The sequence below is a fragment of the Homo sapiens genome, chromosome X (assembly GCF_000001405.40).
Source record: "Homo sapiens chromosome X, GRCh38.p14 Primary Assembly".
Taxonomy (NCBI): domain Eukaryota; kingdom Metazoa; phylum Chordata; class Mammalia; order Primates; family Hominidae; genus Homo; species Homo sapiens.
The window spans coordinates 132,959,229-132,979,377 of NC_000023.11; the positions used below are offsets into that span (position 1 = coordinate 132,959,229).

A 20,149-nucleotide genomic window follows, 5' to 3' on the forward strand; every position below is an offset into this window, starting at 1 on the left:
CAGATCTTCCTCAAGCTCCAGTGTCCGAAAGGCTCTTTTCTGCTGCTGGACCAGGAATGCAGGGTTTAACAGGGAAAGAATGGATGTTCCTTCAGGAAAAGGACCCTGGGAACTCAGGAGTCAGTCTGTCCCCATCTGATTGATCAAAGGGGCTTGCTGTACATCAGGACACTGGTGTTTCCGTGACTGAGTGTGCAACTCCCTCCAGTCCCACTGCTACAGAAGGGGCACCGGTTGGCAGCAGTGTTTCTGAGCAGTGCTGTTGGCACTGGGGCCACTGAGTGGGAGAATGCAGACCACGAGCTGAGTCCTGGGGTGGGGGCATGTCCCTCCTGGAGACAGGCTCTCCCAGTATCTCCCTTGCTGAGCTCTGCTCCATCCGTTTCCTGTTCTATCTATGCCATGAAGCGGCAAGCCTAAGAATAGTCCAGAAGTCCTGGGAAATCTGTCCCTGGGCAGCACTGGGATAATCACTTGCCCCTCCTGAGCCTCAGTTTTCTTGTCTGTAAGATAGGACCAATTATGTCCCCTGTTTTGACCAACTGAGTCACCGTGGGGATGAAATGTAGAAACCTTTAGGCCACTCCAAATGTGAGGCTGTGTTTACCTGTTGCTCTAAGCTCAATGTGCCAACTGCGTCACAGGCCAAATAAGGAACAGGCCGTTCTCAGGCAATTCTGTGGCTGTGCACCCTGTCTTTACCACCCCCTAGAATTCCCAGCCCTGGCTAGACTTCTACGTGCCCCCAAACCTACTGGGGACCGTGAGGGACCCTTTGTCCAGCTGCAGACATAAGGGATAGTGGATTTTTTGGGAATCCTGAATTTCTAGCACTCCAGGCATCTCCTGTCCTGAGGTTCCAGGAACACTCTGAAAACCCAATGAACTTGTGCGAAGAAGCCAGATGCAGTAACTTACAAGGTTGACCTCTCAGCTTCCCCAAGAGCTCCCCTGGTGCCCAGGCTGGTAGTCCTAGGCCTGCTCCCCCTGAGGGCAGCTTAGGGTGTGAGCCAGGGTAGTGGGAAGCTATGGGGGTGGCCCCGGAGCTCTGCTTGCCAGCTGCCCCTGCCTTCTGCTTGGCCACTCACTGCAGTCAACCTCTTTAGCCTACCCAATAGGTGGCTCTCCTCATGGTGTCGCATAAAGATTCCCTGCCATTACACCACCTTTGTATGTAATGGCATTCATTGGGTCCCTAGGAAAATATTTCTGAAACAGGTGGGTCACAAATTCAAGCCCTCAGCAGCTAAACTACGGAGTTTCTACTGTAAGAGGGATTAGTGGCATTGGAACACAAGAAAGTGCCTTGGGTGGAGGGAAGGGGGAGGTGGTAAACAGTACGGGGGGAAAAGTCAGGTTTTACTCATTTGAGTTGTGAAAAGGAAGGTGTCCACACACCTGCACACACACTCACAGTCCAACCTTCAGAGAAAGGGCCAGTGAGGTTGGTAGTTGCAGAGCAAGAGGGACAAGGTGGGGCTGTAAAGTTCAGTTTCTGAGATATAATATGTCACTAGGATTTTTGCATTTAGAAGCCCTTCCTCCACCCCCTCATGCTGTGAGGAACAAAGAAATGAATCTCTCATACAGGAATTCATATATCAGGGCTCCTGGAAGTATAAGAAAACAGTCTTTGTGGGGAGCAGGGAGTCCCACAAACCTCAGAAGATCCCTCCAGGATTGAAGAGGCTTTTTGCTGAGAAGCAGGGAATTTTTCCTACGTGTGTCCCAAGAGCCATGTTCTCCCGAGGCCAAGGCTGGGCCTTGGCTGCATGTTGAAGAGGCTTCTTGTAATCTCGGCTGGTCTCTGCTCCCAGGAGCCAGTTCCTCTCAGGCAGTGAATGACAAAGGCTCAAATGCTCTAGATTTTGGCCTTTTGGGGAAAGACTGGGGGTAGGAGGCAAAAAAAAAAAAAAGGGAAGAGAACTGGCCGAACTGTCAAGTGTTCGGTTTTCCATCTCCTTAATTCTAACACCAACTGGAGTTGCTGTGTATGCATATATTTGGGATTCAGTACCTGGAAGGCGAGGAGAACTCTGTCATCTGAGCAGGGCTTCTGGTTGTCTCTATGGTGTGGTATGATTTTCATTATTTTCCCAGAACCGTCCTTCCATGGTTTCCAATGAAAAGGCTGATGATTCTGGGAGCATAAAGGTCAGCCTGGCTTGCATGCGAAGCAGCACAAGGCCAGACATGCATTTGGTTCCTGTAATCTGAGACAACAGTGGGAGGTAGTTACAAGAGCACTGGCCTGGGAGTCCAGAGACCTGGGCTCATGTCTTGACTCTGACACTAATGAGACTATATATATATATATATGACCCTGAGGAAGCCACTTGCTCACTTTTGGGCTCAACTTCCTTATCTGTGAGATGGCAAGGTTGACTTTGTGATTCAAGAGGCACTTCCCTGATCTGACATTCCTTGTCACATGTTTACCTTTACTGTCTTCCTCAAAGGCTGAAGGACTGCCAAAGACTCAGGGCCTTAGCCCGGGGGGAATGACTTAGACCTGGTTCTACCTGCATTCTGTGGCATTTGCATCACTGGATCCCACCAGGCCAGCAGCAGCTGCAGTTGTTCTGGGCCCATATTACAAGGGTGACAGCAGGGTACCCTGTTCAAATTAGAACAGAAATAGTGGAAACTTCATATTAAAGAAAGCATGACATTCTTTCCAGAAAGCATAGATTATGCCTTCCCCTCATCCTGAGCATTCTCTTCAACCCTGGCTTTCTAGCTGTCTCTCATTTTGTGAAAACGTTCATACTCTCAATAATAGGCAATTCTGTCACAAAGATGGAAGGCATGCAAACTACTGAGTTGACTGGTTTCTGTTCTTACGTGTCTCTCCAAACGGAATGAATAGCAGTACTTAATGAAAACACTGTCCGGCAATTCAGGCTTTAATATTATAAACAGGCTGGGTGTGTTATATGCATCACTCTCAATAGTCATTTAGTTTCCCCCACAGAACACTGAGTTTTATTTTTCTAGCCTAACAAAACGTGGGGCTCAAGGAGTTAAAAAAAAGGAGGTGCCAGGGTGCTGTATATGCTAAATGAATATGTGCTGAGAAGGTAGGATAAGCACTGGAATGGGGCTCATAGTAGACCCAACCCTGTGAACAAGCAGCCCAATGACCGGCCCTCTACTGATGAAGGGTTCCCACCATTTCACTAGCAGTGAAATTCCCTTTTTTTTTTTGAGATGGAGTCTCACTCTGTCACCCTGGCTGGAGTGCAGTGGTATGTTCTCAGCTCACTGCAGCCTCCACCTCCTGGGTTCAAGCGATTCTCATGCCTCAACCTCCAAGTAGCTGGGATTACAGACATGCACCACCATGCCTGGCTACTTTTTGTATTTTTAGTAGAGATGGGGTTTGGCCATGTTGGCCAGGCTGGTCTCGAACTTGTGACCGCAGGTGATCCACCCACCTCGGCCTCCCAAAGTGCTGGAATTACAGGCATGGGCCACTGTGCCCAGCCAAAATTCCCACTTTTCACTGACAACGAATGGAAGAGTCAGCTCATGCAGGGCTTTTAAAGCTACAATAAGCCAAGGCCTAGCAACCATAGGCAGCAGGCCAGACTGTTCCTGGAATAGTCATCTCACTTCTTTGGGCCTCAGTTTCCACTCTTAGAAAATATCCTGGGCTCGGTTTGGTGGCTCACACTTGTAGTTCCAACACTTTGGGAGGCCAAGGCAGGTGGATCGCTGGAGCACAGAAGTTTGAGACCAGCCTGGGCAACATAGTGAAACCCCGTGTCTACAAAAAAAAAAAAAAAAAAAAAAAATACAAAAAATTAGCTGGGCGTCGTGGCATGTACCTGTGGTTCCAAGCTACTCGGGAGGCTGAGGTTGGAGGATCCATTGAGCCTGAGAGATTGAGGGTGCAGTGAGCCATGACCATACTACTGCACTCCAGCCTGGGTGACAGAGTGAGACCCTGTCTCAAAAAAAGAGAAAAAAAAAAAAAAGAAGAAGAAGAAAGTAGCCTGACCAGGTACCTCCAAAAAGCTGGTTTAGGGGTATAGTAAAGAGGAATCCAATCTCAAATGAGTGCTTTTAAAGAGAAGAGAGCATAGGTTTGGAGAGCACACTGCCCTGTGGGGTTTAATTAGGGCTCTGTGAGTTCATCAGAACCTCAATTTTCTCATCCATGAAAATGAGGTTAATGATGGCTACCTCAGTGGGCTGTCATGCGAGTTAACTAAAATAATCTACTGAGAACACTTAGTCTAGTTCTTGAAAAAGCAGACCTTCAGAAAATGCTTGCTTTTTTCCGCCTCTTTTGACTCAATGTCTTTGATTTGATATCTTTGTTATATCTTCACAGTAGCAACACACATATACTTAATGACAGGCAACTGGCTATGGGCCTAATTTTGTCCTAGGCTGGCTTTGCCACATCCTATTTTTTTATCTGCAGTCTTTTCTCACCCTCCCTCCATGTCTCTCTAGTGCTCTCCTGGCTCATGTCCCATGGAGGAGGAAAGCCTCTGATCCACTGTGTCACATTGAGGGATGGGACAAATACACGTGTCCCCTTCCAAGATATATCAACAAGAAAAGAGGAGATGGCATTGCTTAACCCTAATGAATGGTCCTTCCCATGGGATACTAGGAAACACAGAAAATAGGGCACTGGAGGAGATGCTTGGAGAGCTGAGATAGAGAGCTATAGGTAAGTAAAGAGGAGAGCTTACGGGGCGAGCCCTACTTTAAACTCTTGACACTAATTTTAAGCTCCATTCACTTCAAAAGTTAATGGTTGATCTGGCCGGAGGGGTTTCCATTTGAGCAACTAGTCAAACCACAGCAGTTGGGATTAAAAAACAAGGTCAAGTTTGCATTCATCCTGCTTGAGCCTTAGCTGAACAAGCCCCATCAACTGAGCCCTGGGCTGGCAGCACCAGTTCACAGTGGCAGAGTAGAAAAAGCACCAAGTGGGATGCCAAGAAAACAATGTTTGAGTCCCAGTTCTGCCTCTGGCTCACTGTGTGACCCTGGGTGAGTCACTTGATGTCTCTGGGATTTAGTTGCCAACTTTCGTAAAATGAGGGGCTGCCTTAGATGACCGGGAAAGCCCCTCCCAGCAGGAGCCTTATGTGATCTGAGCTATGCTAGCTAATGAGAAGGCTGGGGAGGGACACCACTCTCTTCTGGCTGTTGTGTCAGCAAAGATACACTACCAAATATGACCCTCCAGTTAGTCACTGAGTCACAAAAGCGGAAGAAGGACTTAAATGAGGAGCAAAGTTTCTCAGATCATAGGGATAAGACAGAAAGTTGAAAATAAGGCTTCTGGGCCTCTACTGACTTGGATGGTAAAGTCAAGGCTGAAAGATTGGGAAAAAGTCATGTCAAGAACTTACCTCCAAGGCCAGGCGCAGCGGCTCATGCCTGTAATTCCAGCAATTTGGGAGGCCGAGGTGGATGGATCACCTGAGGTCAGGAGTTCGAGAACAGCCTGGTCAACATGGTGAAACTTTACTAAAATACATCTCTGCTAAAAATACAAAAATTAGCTGGGTGTGGTCGTGTGTGCCTATAATCCCAGCTACTTGGGAGACTGAGGCAGGATAATCGCCTGGACCTGGGAGGCAGAGGCTGCAGTCAGCCGAGAACATGCCACTGCACTCCAGCCTGGGCAACAGAGCAAGACTTCATCTCAAAATAAAAATAAAGAAGTGACCTCCAGCTAACACAACAGCCTAAGGTAGGTTTTAATAACGGTAATGATAAAAACAAAAATGGCCTTGCCTGACCCACAGTTTCCCATTTATGTTTATACTCTGGGATCTCAGCAAGAGAGGAACACACCCATTGCATGACTGGTCTCTGTGGGAGTCCTAGTTCTGAATACTAAAATACAAGAGTTGAAAATTATATCTTAGGTCAACCTGGAGAATTTGAAGGAAGCAGGCTTCAAGGCCAAAGTTGCTCCCAGGAAAAGGATTTATTTGTCATTCAAATGGGCTGGAAAGGAAATGCCTTATAAGCATAATCCAGGAAAAGAGAAATTACTTTAGAGAAGCCATACTTGTCACAGACTAAATGAAAATTAATTTTTAATAAGAAAGAGCCAGACCAGAGGCTCCTAAAGCCCTTAACTGGGCTTTATAGTAAAACCTGAGAAAGGACTTGCTTCTTTAATACGTATTTTCAAGATCCACATTTCACAAAATGGCATAAAAATGCAGAAAGCTACAGCATTAGAGCAGATGAGGGAAATGAACTTGGTAATAAGCACTTTGAATATTTATCTTCTGTACTGAAGAAAGTTGCCTTAATGGTTATCATCATGTGGGAGATTTAGCTGAAGCAGAAGATGATATTCAAATCCCCAATGAGAAGAGACAAAATGCGGTTGGTAGCGCTCAACAAGGGGTTAGAAATGCAACAGGCATGGGGAGAGGGGTCTACCTGTTGTCGAGGGTGCCAGTTTCAAAGATCTGCACAGTGATCAGGATGGCTGGCTATAGTGGTGTCTCCTGTAGGTTGACCTCAGGATGGTTAGCAAATAGTGCCAATAGTAGCTCACATACTGAACACTGAACATCTGCTGTATGTCAGATACTGTACTAAACGCTTTGCATGCACTATCTCAATTAGCATTGCCAGCAACCCAATGAGATAGTTACTTCTGTTGTACTTACTTTACAAATGAGTAAACTGGAGTTCCATATTACAGCCACACAACTAGGAATTATAGAGGTGGAACTTGAACCCAGATCTATCTAAGTCACGAGCCAATAATAACTCTAATGTCTCCCTGATCATCATCCAGCTCCAGGGTGTCTGAGTTTGATTGGAGAATATGAGACATCCTGTTCCAAAATACAATGTCAAGAGACTTAGATAATCCTCATCCCAGGCAGGAGAGCTGGACAGAGAGGGATTGTGTGTGTGCGTGTGTGAGCACACATGGACACATGCTGTCATGCACATGCTCTGAGAGCAGTGAAGAAGATAGAGAGCCCAAAGCCTGAATTTTAGTAAAGAGGGAAGCAGAGATGAAGACACTGCTGACTAGACAACTCAATACACACACAACCTTGGGATGTCACCCGCATGATCTGACACTGTTATCTTTGGGAAATGTCACAAGCAACTTTGTCCACTCTACTAAACAATAGCCTTCTGAAAGTCTAGGACCTTGGCTTCTTCATTTTTAAAAATTCTTCATAATGCTCAATAACAATCACATTTAGTCTAGGGCTTCACAGTTTACCCAATATTTTCACAGACACTGATTGGATCTTTACAATAATTCTGCAAGGCTGCTGTTAGTGTCCTCACTTTATTTATGAGGAAATGGAGTCCCTCAGGGCTGAAGAAACATGGCTAGGGTCACATAACGTGTGGAATTGCCACTTCTGACCTCTCCCTTAGCTCCCCCAAGCACACATACCAATGTCAGACAATGCCCACAGCACCTCACAACGGATCTGGGACAGAAGAGGTGCTCAAGAAATGTTAGTTTTTCCCCTTACTTGCCAATTTATGACTTAAAATGTTTTCTTTCCACTAACTACATTTTACCAGGTACCCAATATCTTCAACAGAGACTAGTCCACATTCTCAGAGAACTTACCATCGATATAAGGAAATATAATACACCTAATATGCAAGAGCCTGAGGATAATGACTGACTAATCTGTGGCACTAGCTCTAATGCAGTGACACTCAGCGGATGGTTCACAGATGTCTGGAATGGCCAGAAAAGCCTCCCTACTGAACATTGGGAGGGCCTGGAGGAGCTAATCAATCTGCCCACCCACCCATTCTTTTTTGTCTTGGTCCCAGAAAGAGGAACTTTTGCTGACAGAAACTGTTTTGACCACCTTTTCTTGTTGTACTCAGGGCATCAGTCCCTTCCTTGTTCACAGGGTTGTATACAAAGTGTCCTAGCCCTCCCCAGCTACAAATTCCACCCTCAATCTGCAGTGACAAGAGCGTGACATGGCGGAGTCTTTCATCAAGAGAGCAGTATGTAGCCTCACAAACACAGTACGGGCTGTGTCAACATGCACAACTCAGTTGCAGAGCAAATAGTTGATTTTTTTAGACCAAGTCAATAAGCTGCTTTTCACAGGGAGAAGAGGGACCAGGATAGGCACAGTTTAAACAAGAAGACACTCTGCATTTTACCCTAAATGTTTCCATTGTTCTATATCTTGCCAGTGGTTGGTAGCAAGTCAAAGCAAAAACTGACATTTAGTGTTCCAGAGTCTTCTGGAAGAGAGCCAGCTAATGAATTACCAGATGAACAGCTTTTGGCTCACTTATCAAGGACAAATCTTATGCCAGCTGAGATGCTAAGATGCTGTTGCAATAGCAAACTAACAACCACAATAACAACAACAATAATTTACCAGGATGATTGCAAGAATGCAGGACAGACAATTTTCTTTGTTGGCTGTAATCTGGAAATACGTTTAGTTTTGATTTTTCATCCACATTAGATGCTCATAACATGACATTCTAAACAGAGACATTTTAGGCTGGATATCAACAGAGAATTATTTTTATTCATCATTAGTTTCATCAAAAACTTAACAGCTGATATAGATTTCATCAAATGATGAGGGAGATTAGTATGATGTAAAAAAATTCACAACAAGGCACAAGGCTCACACCTGTAACCCCAGCACTTTAAGAGGCAGAGGCAGGAGGATCAGATTGCTTGATTCCAGGTGTTCAAGACCCTGTTTCTATAAATAAATAAATAAATAAATAGTGGGGCATGGTGGGGCACGCCTGTGGTCCCAGCTAATTCAGAAGCTGAAGTGGGAGGATCACCTGAGCCTGGGAGGTTGAGCCTGCAGTGAGCCATGATCACGCCACTGCACTGCAGCCTGGGTGACAGAGTGAGACCCTTCTAAAAAAATCACTATAAAGATGTATTTTATTCTTTTGCTCTGCCTTGTAACACTACCGTTCATCTAATACTCAGACAAACTGAGGGTAGAAGATTCAGGCTTAATTGTCCCTCCTCTCCACCAATACCCCCTGTACTAGTCTGAAATGACAAGGTAGGAGCTCCTCTTAGCAATATTTACAGACCATTCTTCACATAAAAGAATATAAGAACTCTCAAAAAGCTAAATAAACAGAGTACTCTAAACAAGCCCTCTTCCTGTCCTTTTCTCAGAAGTCTGCTGCAAAGGCTCTTGGTCAGTGCCACAGGCTGTTCTTTTATCTCAGTAACCGGAGTGCCTTTGCAAAGCTGGCCTGGAGGTCAGGTCTCAGGCTCACTCCCCGGTATTCAGTGAATTCTTAGTCAAGTCCAAGCTTGAGTCAGCTGCCTCCATTGTAACTCTTTTGCAATTCGATGGATAGCTTGGTCCTTATGTCTTGAGGATTGGAATCTCCTGGGCAGGGATTGGATTTCACTTTCCATGTCTACAGTGTTTGCACTAAGGTTATTAATATATTCTCTACAGGAGGGATCATATTGAGAGCAAGCTGAAATTCACATAACAAAGCCTGTGGCTTGAAACTACGCTGGGCCAAGCCCCCAGGGGGATACTGGGTAACTCTGAGCAGCCAGTCACCCTTGGAGAACATTGAGAAGCATCTGAGTCTACCCTTTCTGGGACACAGCATCTTTCTATATTAGACCCACTCTCCCAGACTTCCCACCATACCTGGAGGTGCCCTGCAACGCCAATGAGGGAAAATGTAACCTGAGGAACACTCATTTCCACCGTGGTGTGAGGGACTCAGAGGATTCCCTTTCCCAAAGTTCCATTTAGAATGAAATGAATGAATAATTTATACCAGGGTAAGAGTCAATAAGACCATTAAAGGAGCAGGCAACTGTAATACAAAGAGCACACCCTCTAGGATCAGACCAGGATTTGAAACTCAGTTCTGCTCTTTACTAACTGTGTGGCCTTAGGCAAGCAGTTAGCCTACCAGTGCCTCAGTTTCCTCCTCTGTCTCTGTACAATAGGTATGATACTAATCAACAACCTTGTAAGGTATGCATGTAAAGCTAGAGGATAATATACATAAAAGGCCTTTTACAGGCCCTTACAGAGAATGGGTATCCAACAAATGGCAGTTACTGTTATTAAACAAAGCAGGAGAGATGTCTGGGAACTTCTTAATGTCTTTCAAATCACAGCCCTAGGTGAATGTTTATATCCAATCTAGACAAGAATTACCCTGTTCAAATACATCATTGGATCTATACAGATGTTATTATTTTTCATTGTTTTGTTTTGTTTTTTGAGACAGGGTCTCGCTCTGTTGCCCAGGCTGGAGTGCAGTGGCACAATCATGGCTCGCTGCAGCCTCGACCTCCCTGGGCTCAAGCAATTCTCCCATCCCAGCCTCCCGAGTAGCTGAGACTGCAGGTGCATGCCACCACGCCTGGCCAATGTTTTGTATTTTTCATAGAGGCAGGGTTTTGACATGTTGTCCAGGCTGGTGTTGAGCTCCTGGGCTCAAGCAATCCTCCCACCTCAGCCTCCTGGGTTGCTGGGACTACAGGTGCATGCCTCTATGCCTGGCTAATTTTTGTATATTTTGTAGAAACAGAGTTTCACCGTGTTGCCCAAGCTGTTCTAGAACTTCTGGGCTCAAGCAATCCTCCCAGCTTGGCCTCCCAAAGTGCTGGGATTACAGATGTGAACCGCCATGCCCAGCTTATACATACGTTTTAATACTTTTCTGCCTTCATGTTTTTAATAACCCAAGTAAGGCTTGACTGAAACTCTTTGTAAATGTTCAAATATCATAGAAGGTGCAAAAATTCCTCTTGACCCCCATACAATTCCATTCCCTTCCCCTGAGGTAGCTGCTGTTTTCAGTTTGTTTTGTATGTTGGAGGGCCTTTATTGTAACCAAGTACACATATGAATACACATATTAAAATAAAGAATGTTGTTTTTGTGGGTTTTTTTTGAAAAGGAAAATGTATGTTTTGGATGTATGCTTTTGATATTTTATTGAACTATAATATACACTTGGAAAAGTGAACATAAGTGTACAATTGATGAAACATACATGAACTGAACATACCTATGTAATCAGCCCTCATACCAAGAAATGCTGCCATCACCTCAAAAGCCTCTCTTGTGCCCCGTTCCAGTCAACAAATCCCAACCAGTGGCCACTATTTCTGATTTATATCAGCATAGATTTGTTTGGCCTGCTTTTGTACTTTATATAAATCAAATCACAGAGTGTATTAATTTTATATTGCTATGTAACAAATTGCCACAGATACCACAGCTTAAAACAACACAGATCTATTCTCAGAGTTTCTGTAGGTCAAAAATCCAGGCACGGTGTGGGTGGATTCCCTTCTTAGGGGCTTATGGGGTTCAAATCAAGGTATCAGCCAGGGCTGTGATCTCATCTGGGGCCTGGGGTCCTCTTCCAAGCTCACTGGTTGTTGGCAGAGTTCATTTCCTTGCAGTTAAAAAACGGAGGTCTCTATTTTCTTGTTGGGTGTCAACCAGGGGTCACACTCAACAACTAGAGGTCATCTACATTCCTTGTCACAAGCCCTCCTCCACTTTCAAGCCAGCAACAGAGAATTTCTCTCATATCAGTCTCCCTCAAGCTTCAACTCTCCGACTTCTGATTCTGCAAGCAGTCCAGGAATATACTTTGCTTTTAAAGGAACTCATGTGGTTAAATCAGGCCCACCTAGATAATCTCCCTATTTTAAGGTAACTGATTTGGGACTTTAATTACATGTGCAAAATTCCTTTATGGTGGTACCTAGATTAGTGTTTGATTGGATAACTGGGAGACGGTCTGTGTACACCAGGGTCATGAAATCTTGGAGGACCACTTAGAAATCTGCCTACCACATACAGTATTTACTGTCTCAGGCTTTCTTCACTCAAAATTATGTTTATGAGATTCATCCATATCATAAGGGGTTATAGTTAATCCATTCTCATTGCTGTGAAGTATTCCATTGTGTGAATACACCACATTTTATTCATCCAAAATTTCTTCATATTGATGGGCATTGTCCTAATTTTAAGTGCTGGGCTGTTATGAATAGTGATCCCACAAACAGGACATTTGGTGAACATGTGTACATATAGATTGAAGAAGAAACACACTTTTTTTCTGTTATAAGACCCTAAGAATTTGGAGTTCTTTGTTGCCACAATATAATCCAGCCTATTTGACTGATTCAGAAAGCTGGGAATAGAATTAGTGCTATTACTAAAGGCAATAGATACTGCCATATTGCCATATTGCCCTTACATGTGGCATGTAAGCCACATGCTTACCAGCACATGGTATGATATATGTGTGTATATTTGCATGAACTTTGGCCAACCTGAACTTTATCTCCTACATGTATAAAATAAGGACACTGCCCTGTGTAAAGATCCAGGAGAACATGCTTAACCCCTCTGCCTGCCCCAGCATGAATATTATCAACCCACACCATGGATATCCTGTACTGTGCTCTATTATTTCATGGAACTTAACACTCTTAGATATTCCATATGTTTACCAAACTTACAGTGTTTATTGTTTGCTTTCTATCTCTACCCACTAGGATATAAGCTTCTGCATGCAGGTATCTCTTTACTTTAGCCAGTTTACTGATATATCCCAAGGGCCTAGAAAAATTTCTGATACATAGTAGGTGCTTAAAAATATTTGAGTGAACAAGTGTTAACTCAGGGTATGAAATTTGATGATGATGATTAATAATAATAAATTAATTTCATAGTTACAGTGAGCATATTTTCTAAACAAAACAATTAGAACACTGACTGGAAAAAAACTTAGCTGCACTTAAATGTGGGGAAAGATTTAATCATGCATTTACACCCATGGAAAGTCATTTATTTCACTTTCCCTACCTCATTTTTAATTTTATTTTACATAGTTGCATTATACATCAGTTTTGGATACTCTTCATTCTTTCTGAACATTCCTATAAAATTGAGACTGCTATAGGAAACTCAAGATTTAAAGTTGCTCCTTTCACAGGGCTTTGTACCATACAAAACCAATGAACATTTGTTTTTGCAAATTCTTTCCTGAAATGTCCTCCCTTCTTTCTGCAATTATTGATATTCTGCTCTTCCTTCAAGATCAGAGTCATTTGGGGTCTACAGCAGAGTTGTCAAAGAGAACTTCTTTGATGATGGTAATATTCTTTATCTGTACTCTTCAATATGATAGCCACCAGCTGCACGTAGCTACTGAGCCCTTGAAATGTGGCTAGTGTGACTGAGGAGCTTAATTTTATTTTATTTATTTATTTTTATTTTTATTTTTTGAGACAGAGTTTCACTCTTGTTGCCCAGGCTGGAGTGCAATGGCGCAATCTCGGCTCACTGCAACCTCCGCCTCCTGGGTTGGCTTCAAGTGATTCTCCTGCCTCAGCCTCCCGAGTAGGTAGGATTATAGGTACCCACCACCACGCCCAGCTAATTTTTTGTATTTTTAGTAGAGATGGGGTTTCACCATGTTGGCCAGGCTGGTCTCGAACTCCTGACCTCAGGTGGTCCACCTGCCTCGGGCTCCCAAAGTGTTGGGATTACAGGTGTGAGCCACTGCACCCGGCTGAGGAGCTTAATTTTAATCAATTTAATTTTAATTGAATTTAATTTCAAGTAAGTTATATTTAAATGGGCACAAGTGGCTGCTGGCTGCCATACTGGACAGCACAGCTCTAAAGAAAAGGGTGGAAAAACGGGACCCATTTTTGATCCTCTGTGGCAGCTAAAGGGATTTCAAGACCCACAGGTCAGACAGAAAGGTACTCACGTCCCTTTCTTTACAACTGCTGCCCCCAGATGAGAGACAGAAGGACAGAGTGCTCTGACCCATTCTCTTCAGGTAGGGGAGCTTGGGCTAGAGGGGAGGAGGAGGACATGTTTTTGATGAGTTCAACTAAGGCCCTTGCAGTCATTGGGCATCACCTTGCCTTGTTCCTTCATGTGGTCATTGGTTTAGGCTGTGTCTACACAGACCCACTGAGTCAAGCTGGAGGTCTGAATGTGAAATACGAATTACAGAGACATAGATTTTACATCCCACACAGTTCCCCAGCTCCTACTGTGCTTGTGCAGCTCACCCTGGAGGCATGTGCAGAGAGGCATTCAATCTACTTGCCAGGGCTTGGACATTTCAGAGATGATGGTAATTACTGAAGCAGGTAATGGATCATAAGGAAGTAAAGTCTAGATAGGTGATCCAATAAATAAAATAACCAGACCCAGGGCTTCAGAGAAAAAGAATATTTCCTACTTTGAGATACTTCTTGGAGCAAAGCATATCTGGCTCTTAAGTGTACTGTTATGAAATTAATTTGAAGTTGAGGAACTGTAATATATTACAGCTATCAGTCTCCCTGGACGGTTTTACAATCAACATGTAGGATATGAAAAAAGAAAGATGCCAATAACATATTAATGTGGTATTCGGTGTTCAATCTTTTTTATGCAGCAGAATATTACAGCTGAGCAAAAAATGATCAAAAAGTTGGTTCTCTTTTATACAAAGAAACAGAAGAAGGAAACTTGAACTTTAAATTATCTCATCTGTCACTTTCCATTGATTGAGTCTTGCTCATTAAGATAAATTCCAAGCGAGACTATCATTTTTATCTTTTGAGCTCTCCAGAAATGTATGCCTTTCAGCTGTCTTGCCTTTCTTTCTTTCTTTTCTTTCTTTCTTTTTTTTTCTTTTCTTTTCTTTTTTTTCTTTTCTTTTGCTTTCTTTTCTTTTCTTTTGCTTTTCCCCCATATATGCAGCTTCCAAGGAGGAATGAGACACTATATCTTATGGTCTTTCCCTTTTTAATTGAGTTCCTCTGGAAATGTATGTACCTGCAGTTTAACACCTGATGCGCACCTACAGATATACCCAAAATCAGACATCCCTCTTTTCTCTATTTTGTATGCCATATTGGTACAAGAAGGGTATGTGGCTTCTCTCTGACAGAAGAGAACCCAAACACAACTCTACCATAAACCAACTGTGGGATCTTGGGAGTCATTTACTCTGATTCTTAGCTTCACCATCTGCTGAAAAGTAAATAATAAGGAAGACAGCAGGATGGCTAAGTGAGACTTTTGGCTGGTTCCCACTAACTGCTTTCTTCTGACTTAGTTTCCTTTCTCTCCTAGCACGCTGTGGCTCTGTTCAGTGGGTTATTTCAACCTCCCTCCAATAATGAATGCTGATATGATGTGGACATTCCTAGTAACTGGCAGATATCAGGTGCTCAGTAAACATAAATGCACCCATCTCTCCATTCTGTTCTTGGCAAAGTAGCTAGAGCTGGATGGTAAAAAGCTGCCCCCTTGTTCTTCCCCCTGCCCTTCATTGCTAGGGATAAAGTGATGGGACAAAGCAGGAAGCATTCATATATTCAAATCAACAATTCAGGGCCAGATAGACCGTGTGTAAAAGGGGAAAGTCAGAAGTGGACCTTCATTACATACCTCCTTCCCCACCCACTTCACCCCTGTGATTTACTTCCCTACTGCCCCTACCTGTTGGCTCAGTACGCTCTTTTTCCCTTCTTGCACCATATCAACCTTCCCCACTCCCAATCGATGATACTAATGTGTGGGTGAGTGATAATCCCCCTCTGTTCATGGACATTTGCATATAGATCAGAATCTTCAGTTAAAACCTGTCTTCCTCTGCATGTGACATCTCAGGCATCAAACAGTGGGAGAATTGCCTCCATTTCAAAGGTCTTTTCTGGAGTTCTGGAAGTAGAACTGTGTAATTACATACCCACAGGAATAAGCCAACACTGCTAGCCTCTTGAACTACAGACGTGACCAACCATTTCTCTCTCTCTCTCTCTCTCTTTTTTTAGACAGTCTCACTCTGTCACCCAGGCTGGAGTGCAGTGGAGCAATCTCGGCTCACTGCAACCTCCGCCTCCCGGGTTCAAGCGATTCTCCTGCCTCAGTCTCCCAAGTAGCTAGGATTACAGGCACCCACCACCATGCTCAGCTAATTTTTTGCATTTTTTAGTGGAGACGGGGTTTCGCCCTGCTGGCCAGGCTGGTCTCGAACTCCTGACCTCAGGTGATCCGCCCGCCTTGGCCTCCCAAATTGCTGAGATTACAGGCGTGAGCCACCCCACTGGGCCCCAACCATTTCTCAATGGAAATTGCCCAGGTAGTTACCATAAATAAGAAAACCTTCTAGGTCCCTGTCAGTTTGAACAGCAGGGGGCAGCAGAGAACAGTTTGTCAGAGACACAGTGGCAGAACAAATGTGGTTGGATAAAATGATGGAAAGAGTTTGAAAAGACGTTTAAGAGACGACAGACTAGAGATGAGAGTAAGGCTGATGCCAAGAGAACAAACAAAATCAGAGGAACAAGTCTAGGACTAGGGCATTGAGATGATTTGGATGTTTGCCCCCTGCAAATCTCGTGTTTAAATGTAATCCCCATTGTTGGAGGTGGGGCCTGGTGGGAGGTATTTGGATCACGCCAGGGGCAGATCCCTCATGAATGGCTTAGCGCCATCCCGTTGGTGATGAGTGAATTCTTGGTCTGGTAGTTCATGTGAGATTTGGTTGTTTAAAAGTGTGTGGCACCTCCCTGCTGTCTTTCTAGCTCCCTCTCTCACCGTGCAATGCCTTCTCCCTCTTCACCTTCCGCCATGATTGCAAGCTTCCTGAAGCCCTCACCAGAAGCAGATGCTGGCACCATGCTTCCGGTACAGCCTGCAGAACCACGAGCCAAAATACACCTCTTTTCTTTATAAATTATCCTGTCTCAGGCATTCTTTACAGCAACGCAAATGGACTAATGCAGGCTTGAACAGATAGCATTGGAGCTGGGGGTAGGGAATAATGAAGGGATCTGTGTCCCCACATAAGAGCTCTAGGGAGGAAGTAAATCATTCTTCAAGAGACTACAGCAGCCCTTCTCAAGCTTTTGTGGATTGTGAAAAGACCTAGGTTTGAGAATTCGATGAAATCAAGGGTCTTCTCCAGAGAAAAGTAAACATGAATGATAAATTTTGCAATAAAACTCAAGGGGCTTTCAGCTCCCACCCCTGTCCCACAGATAGATTCTAAGTCCAAAATTAATCTAGGCTTCAGAGACAGTAAAAGCAAAGCCATTGATCATTCAGGCTGCTTGTCCTCCTGGAGGTGTGGACCTGGGACTGCCTTCTCACTAGGGAACGGACCTAGGCCTGTCTTCAGAGTGACTTGGGTTTGTACTGGTTCTAACAATCCCAAAGTAGCCCTGGGCTTTGGAGTTTATCAAGGATCCACATACACAGATTTTGATGGGACCCACTGCTACTCCCTACTGCTCTCCACTAGCTAACATATTCATATGTTCCTAAGTGCTCAGGGCTTTGCATTCCTTACTTAAATAAGTTGTTACAAAAAAAAAAAAAGTACTCTTGTTATCCCCATTTTAAAAAATGACAAAACTGAGGTTAAACCACTTGCCCAGGTTCAGAGAACTGGCCAGCTACAGAGGTGGTGTATTAGTTCGTTCTCACGTTGCTATAAAGAAATACCTGAAACTGGGTAATTTATAAAGAAAAGAAGTTTAATTGGCTAACAGTTCCACAGACTGTACAGGAAGCATGAAGCTATCTGCTCAGCTTCTGGGTTGGCCTCAGGAAACTTGCAATCATGGAGGAAGGTGAAAGGGGACCCAGGCTTTTTACATGGTATAGAGTAGGAGCAAGGTGGGGGGGAGGTGGTACGCATTTTTAAACAACCAGATCTCAAGATAACTCACTCACTATTATGAGACCAGCACTGAGGGTATGGTGCTAAGCCATTCATAAAGGACCACCCCCACGATCCAGTCACCTCCCACCAGGCACCACCTCCAACACTGGGGATTACAATTCTATATTAGATTTGATTGGTACACAGATCCAAACCATATCAGGTGGGATGGGCATCCAAGTCACTCTGAGCCCTAAGTCTTGGGTATTCAACATGATCTATACTGATTACCAGGTTCAGCTCAAACTTTAGAGCTTTCAGAACAACAGTTAAGCATCATTATATGTAGAGACAATGTTCTGAAAATCAGTTTCAAGTCTTTACTTCTGATGAGTGGGGAAGAGCCTGGCCATTGAGATCTTTGTCCAATGTTTGGTTAGGCAAGTGAGACACCCACCTGGAGTAAGCAGGATTTTCTCACTTTCTCCATCTCTCAGTTAACATTGCCACTTCTTTAAACACATGAGCCTCAGATGACTACATAGGTTTGTGAGTACAAAAACATTTCCACTCCAAAACCCATGCAACTTATTGAATAGTGTAGATAGATTTTCTTCATCTGCCTTGTTATGTTCTCCTACATTATTTTTTTAAGACGGTGTCTCCCTGTGTGTTGCCCAGGCTGCAGTGTAGTGGCACAATCGTGGCTGACTACAACCTCTGCCTCCTGAATTCAAACAATTCTCATGCCTTAGCCTCCCCAGTAGCTGGGATTGCAGACACTCGCCACCACGCCCGGCTAATTTTTGTATTTTTAGTAGAGACAGGGTTTCATCACGTTGGCCAGGCTGATCTCGAACTCCTGACCTCAAGTGATCCACACCTTGGCCTCCCAAAGTGCTGGGACTACAGGCATGAGCCACCACCCCCGGCCATGTTCTCCTAGATTTTAATTGACAAAGTGTCCCTATTAGAGAGATTGTTTTAGAAAAGAGAGATCCCCTGTGGTGTGGTGGTGACTGACTTTACACTTCCCTACCATCATCCTTTGCAGTTTCCTCCCCACTTGAGGACAGATGTTTAGATCTCTTAGTTGATTATGTGAACAGGTGGCAAGAAAACATGGGTTCAATACCTGCTGCAGTAGTTGGCCTATACACACAAAAATCAATTTCTTTAAATAATTTTCTTAAAACAACAGGTGTTTGTTAACTTACTTCCTGAAAACCCTTACAGAACAGAAAAAATATGAACACAAATAGCAGGCATTTTACAGAATAACGAAGCCAGATCCTACATCATATAAATAACAGATTCCTGTGGGTTAGTTTAGTTTGTCTTCATATACAAAACTCAGTTACCTTCCCTATTGTTCAATCTGCTGTCATCTTAGATACACAGAGCTTTTCACCAGCTGTATAAAGAAATTGGATCAAAGCTTCCTACAATAAAATGAAAAATAATTAAAAATGATGTTTCTCAACTTCCCTGCAATGGTGTGGCATTATGGCTGATGTCCATGAAATATTCAATGTGGTGAGTTTTGCTATACTTCCTATATTAAAGCAAAAAAAAATTTTTTTTTTTGAGACGGAGTCTCACTCTGTCACCCAGGCTGGAGTGCAATGACATGATCTCGGCTCACTGCAACCTCCGCCTCCCGAGTTCAAGCGATTCTCCTGCCTCAGCCTCCTGAGTAGCTGGGATTACAGGTGTGCACCACCATGCCCAGTTAATTTTTGTATTTTTAGTAGAGATGGGGTTTCACCATGTTGGCCAGGCTGGTCTCGAACTCCTGACCTCAGGTGATCCACCCACCTCGGCCTCCCAAAGTGCTGGGATTACAGGCGTAAGCCACTGTGCCCCACCTAAAGCAAAAATTTTTATTGAGACAGTCTTGCTCTATTGCCCAGGCTGCACTACAGTGGTGTGATCAAGGCTCAGTGCAGCCTTGCACTCCTGGACTCAAGTGATCCTCACACTTCAGCCTCTGGAGCAGCTGGGACTACTAGCTAATGCCACCATATCCAGCAAATTTATTTTTTGTAGAGACGAGGTCTCGCTATGTTGCTCAGGCTGGTCCTGAATTCTTAGGCTGAAGCAATCCTCCTACCTCGGCCTCCCAAAGTGCTGGGATTACAGGCATGAGCCACCATGCCCAGCCTATATTAAAGCAAATTTTTAAGAGATTTTTATTTATTTCTTATAATTACCTGGAATCATGAGAGTGTCCAGTCACTTTGACATTTTACCTCTAAGATACAGTTTTCTCAGCAGGAAATAAAAATAATTAACATGATTTCCTTACATGTTTCTAAAGAATACAATGGTCTCAATGACATACTCTGCAATGACATACTCTGCTCTCTGGGCATGCAATGTGGCAAAACAGCTACCCATACAGGGGAATTGCTTCCTACAAAACTGCAGTCCTCAAGGAGGAGAAAGAAGAAAAGAGGAGAGGGGAAGAAGAGGA

The 20,149-nt window shown here is 44.0% G+C and overlaps 1 protein-coding gene and 1 long non-coding RNA gene across 6 annotated transcripts in view; one reads left to right on the forward strand and one right to left on the reverse strand.

The window, feature by feature from the left end:
* The window catches only part of HS6ST2 (heparan sulfate 6-O-sulfotransferase 2), a 335,356-nt gene extending 333,214 nt beyond the window's left edge, over nucleotides 1-2,142 (reverse strand). For all 4 annotated transcript variants that reach the window (NM_147175.4, XM_047442618.1, NM_001077188.2 and 1 more), the window contains exon 1: nucleotides 2,018-2,142. The gene's annotated coding sequence lies outside the window, so the exon portion shown is untranslated. The remainder of the gene's footprint in view (nucleotides 1-2,017) is intronic.
* The window catches only part of LOC124905219 (uncharacterized), a 31,800-nt gene that overhangs the window by 1,794 nt on the left and 9,857 nt on the right, over nucleotides 1-20,149 (forward strand). The window contains exon 2 of one of the 2 annotated variants that reach the window (XR_007068338.1): nucleotides 7,552-10,894. The exons of the other annotated variant lie outside the window; for it this stretch is intronic. This is a non-coding gene — a long non-coding RNA (uncharacterized LOC124905219). Of the gene's footprint in view, nucleotides 1-7,551; nucleotides 10,895-20,149 lie in introns of those variants that run through there. 2 annotated transcript variants of the gene reach the window in all.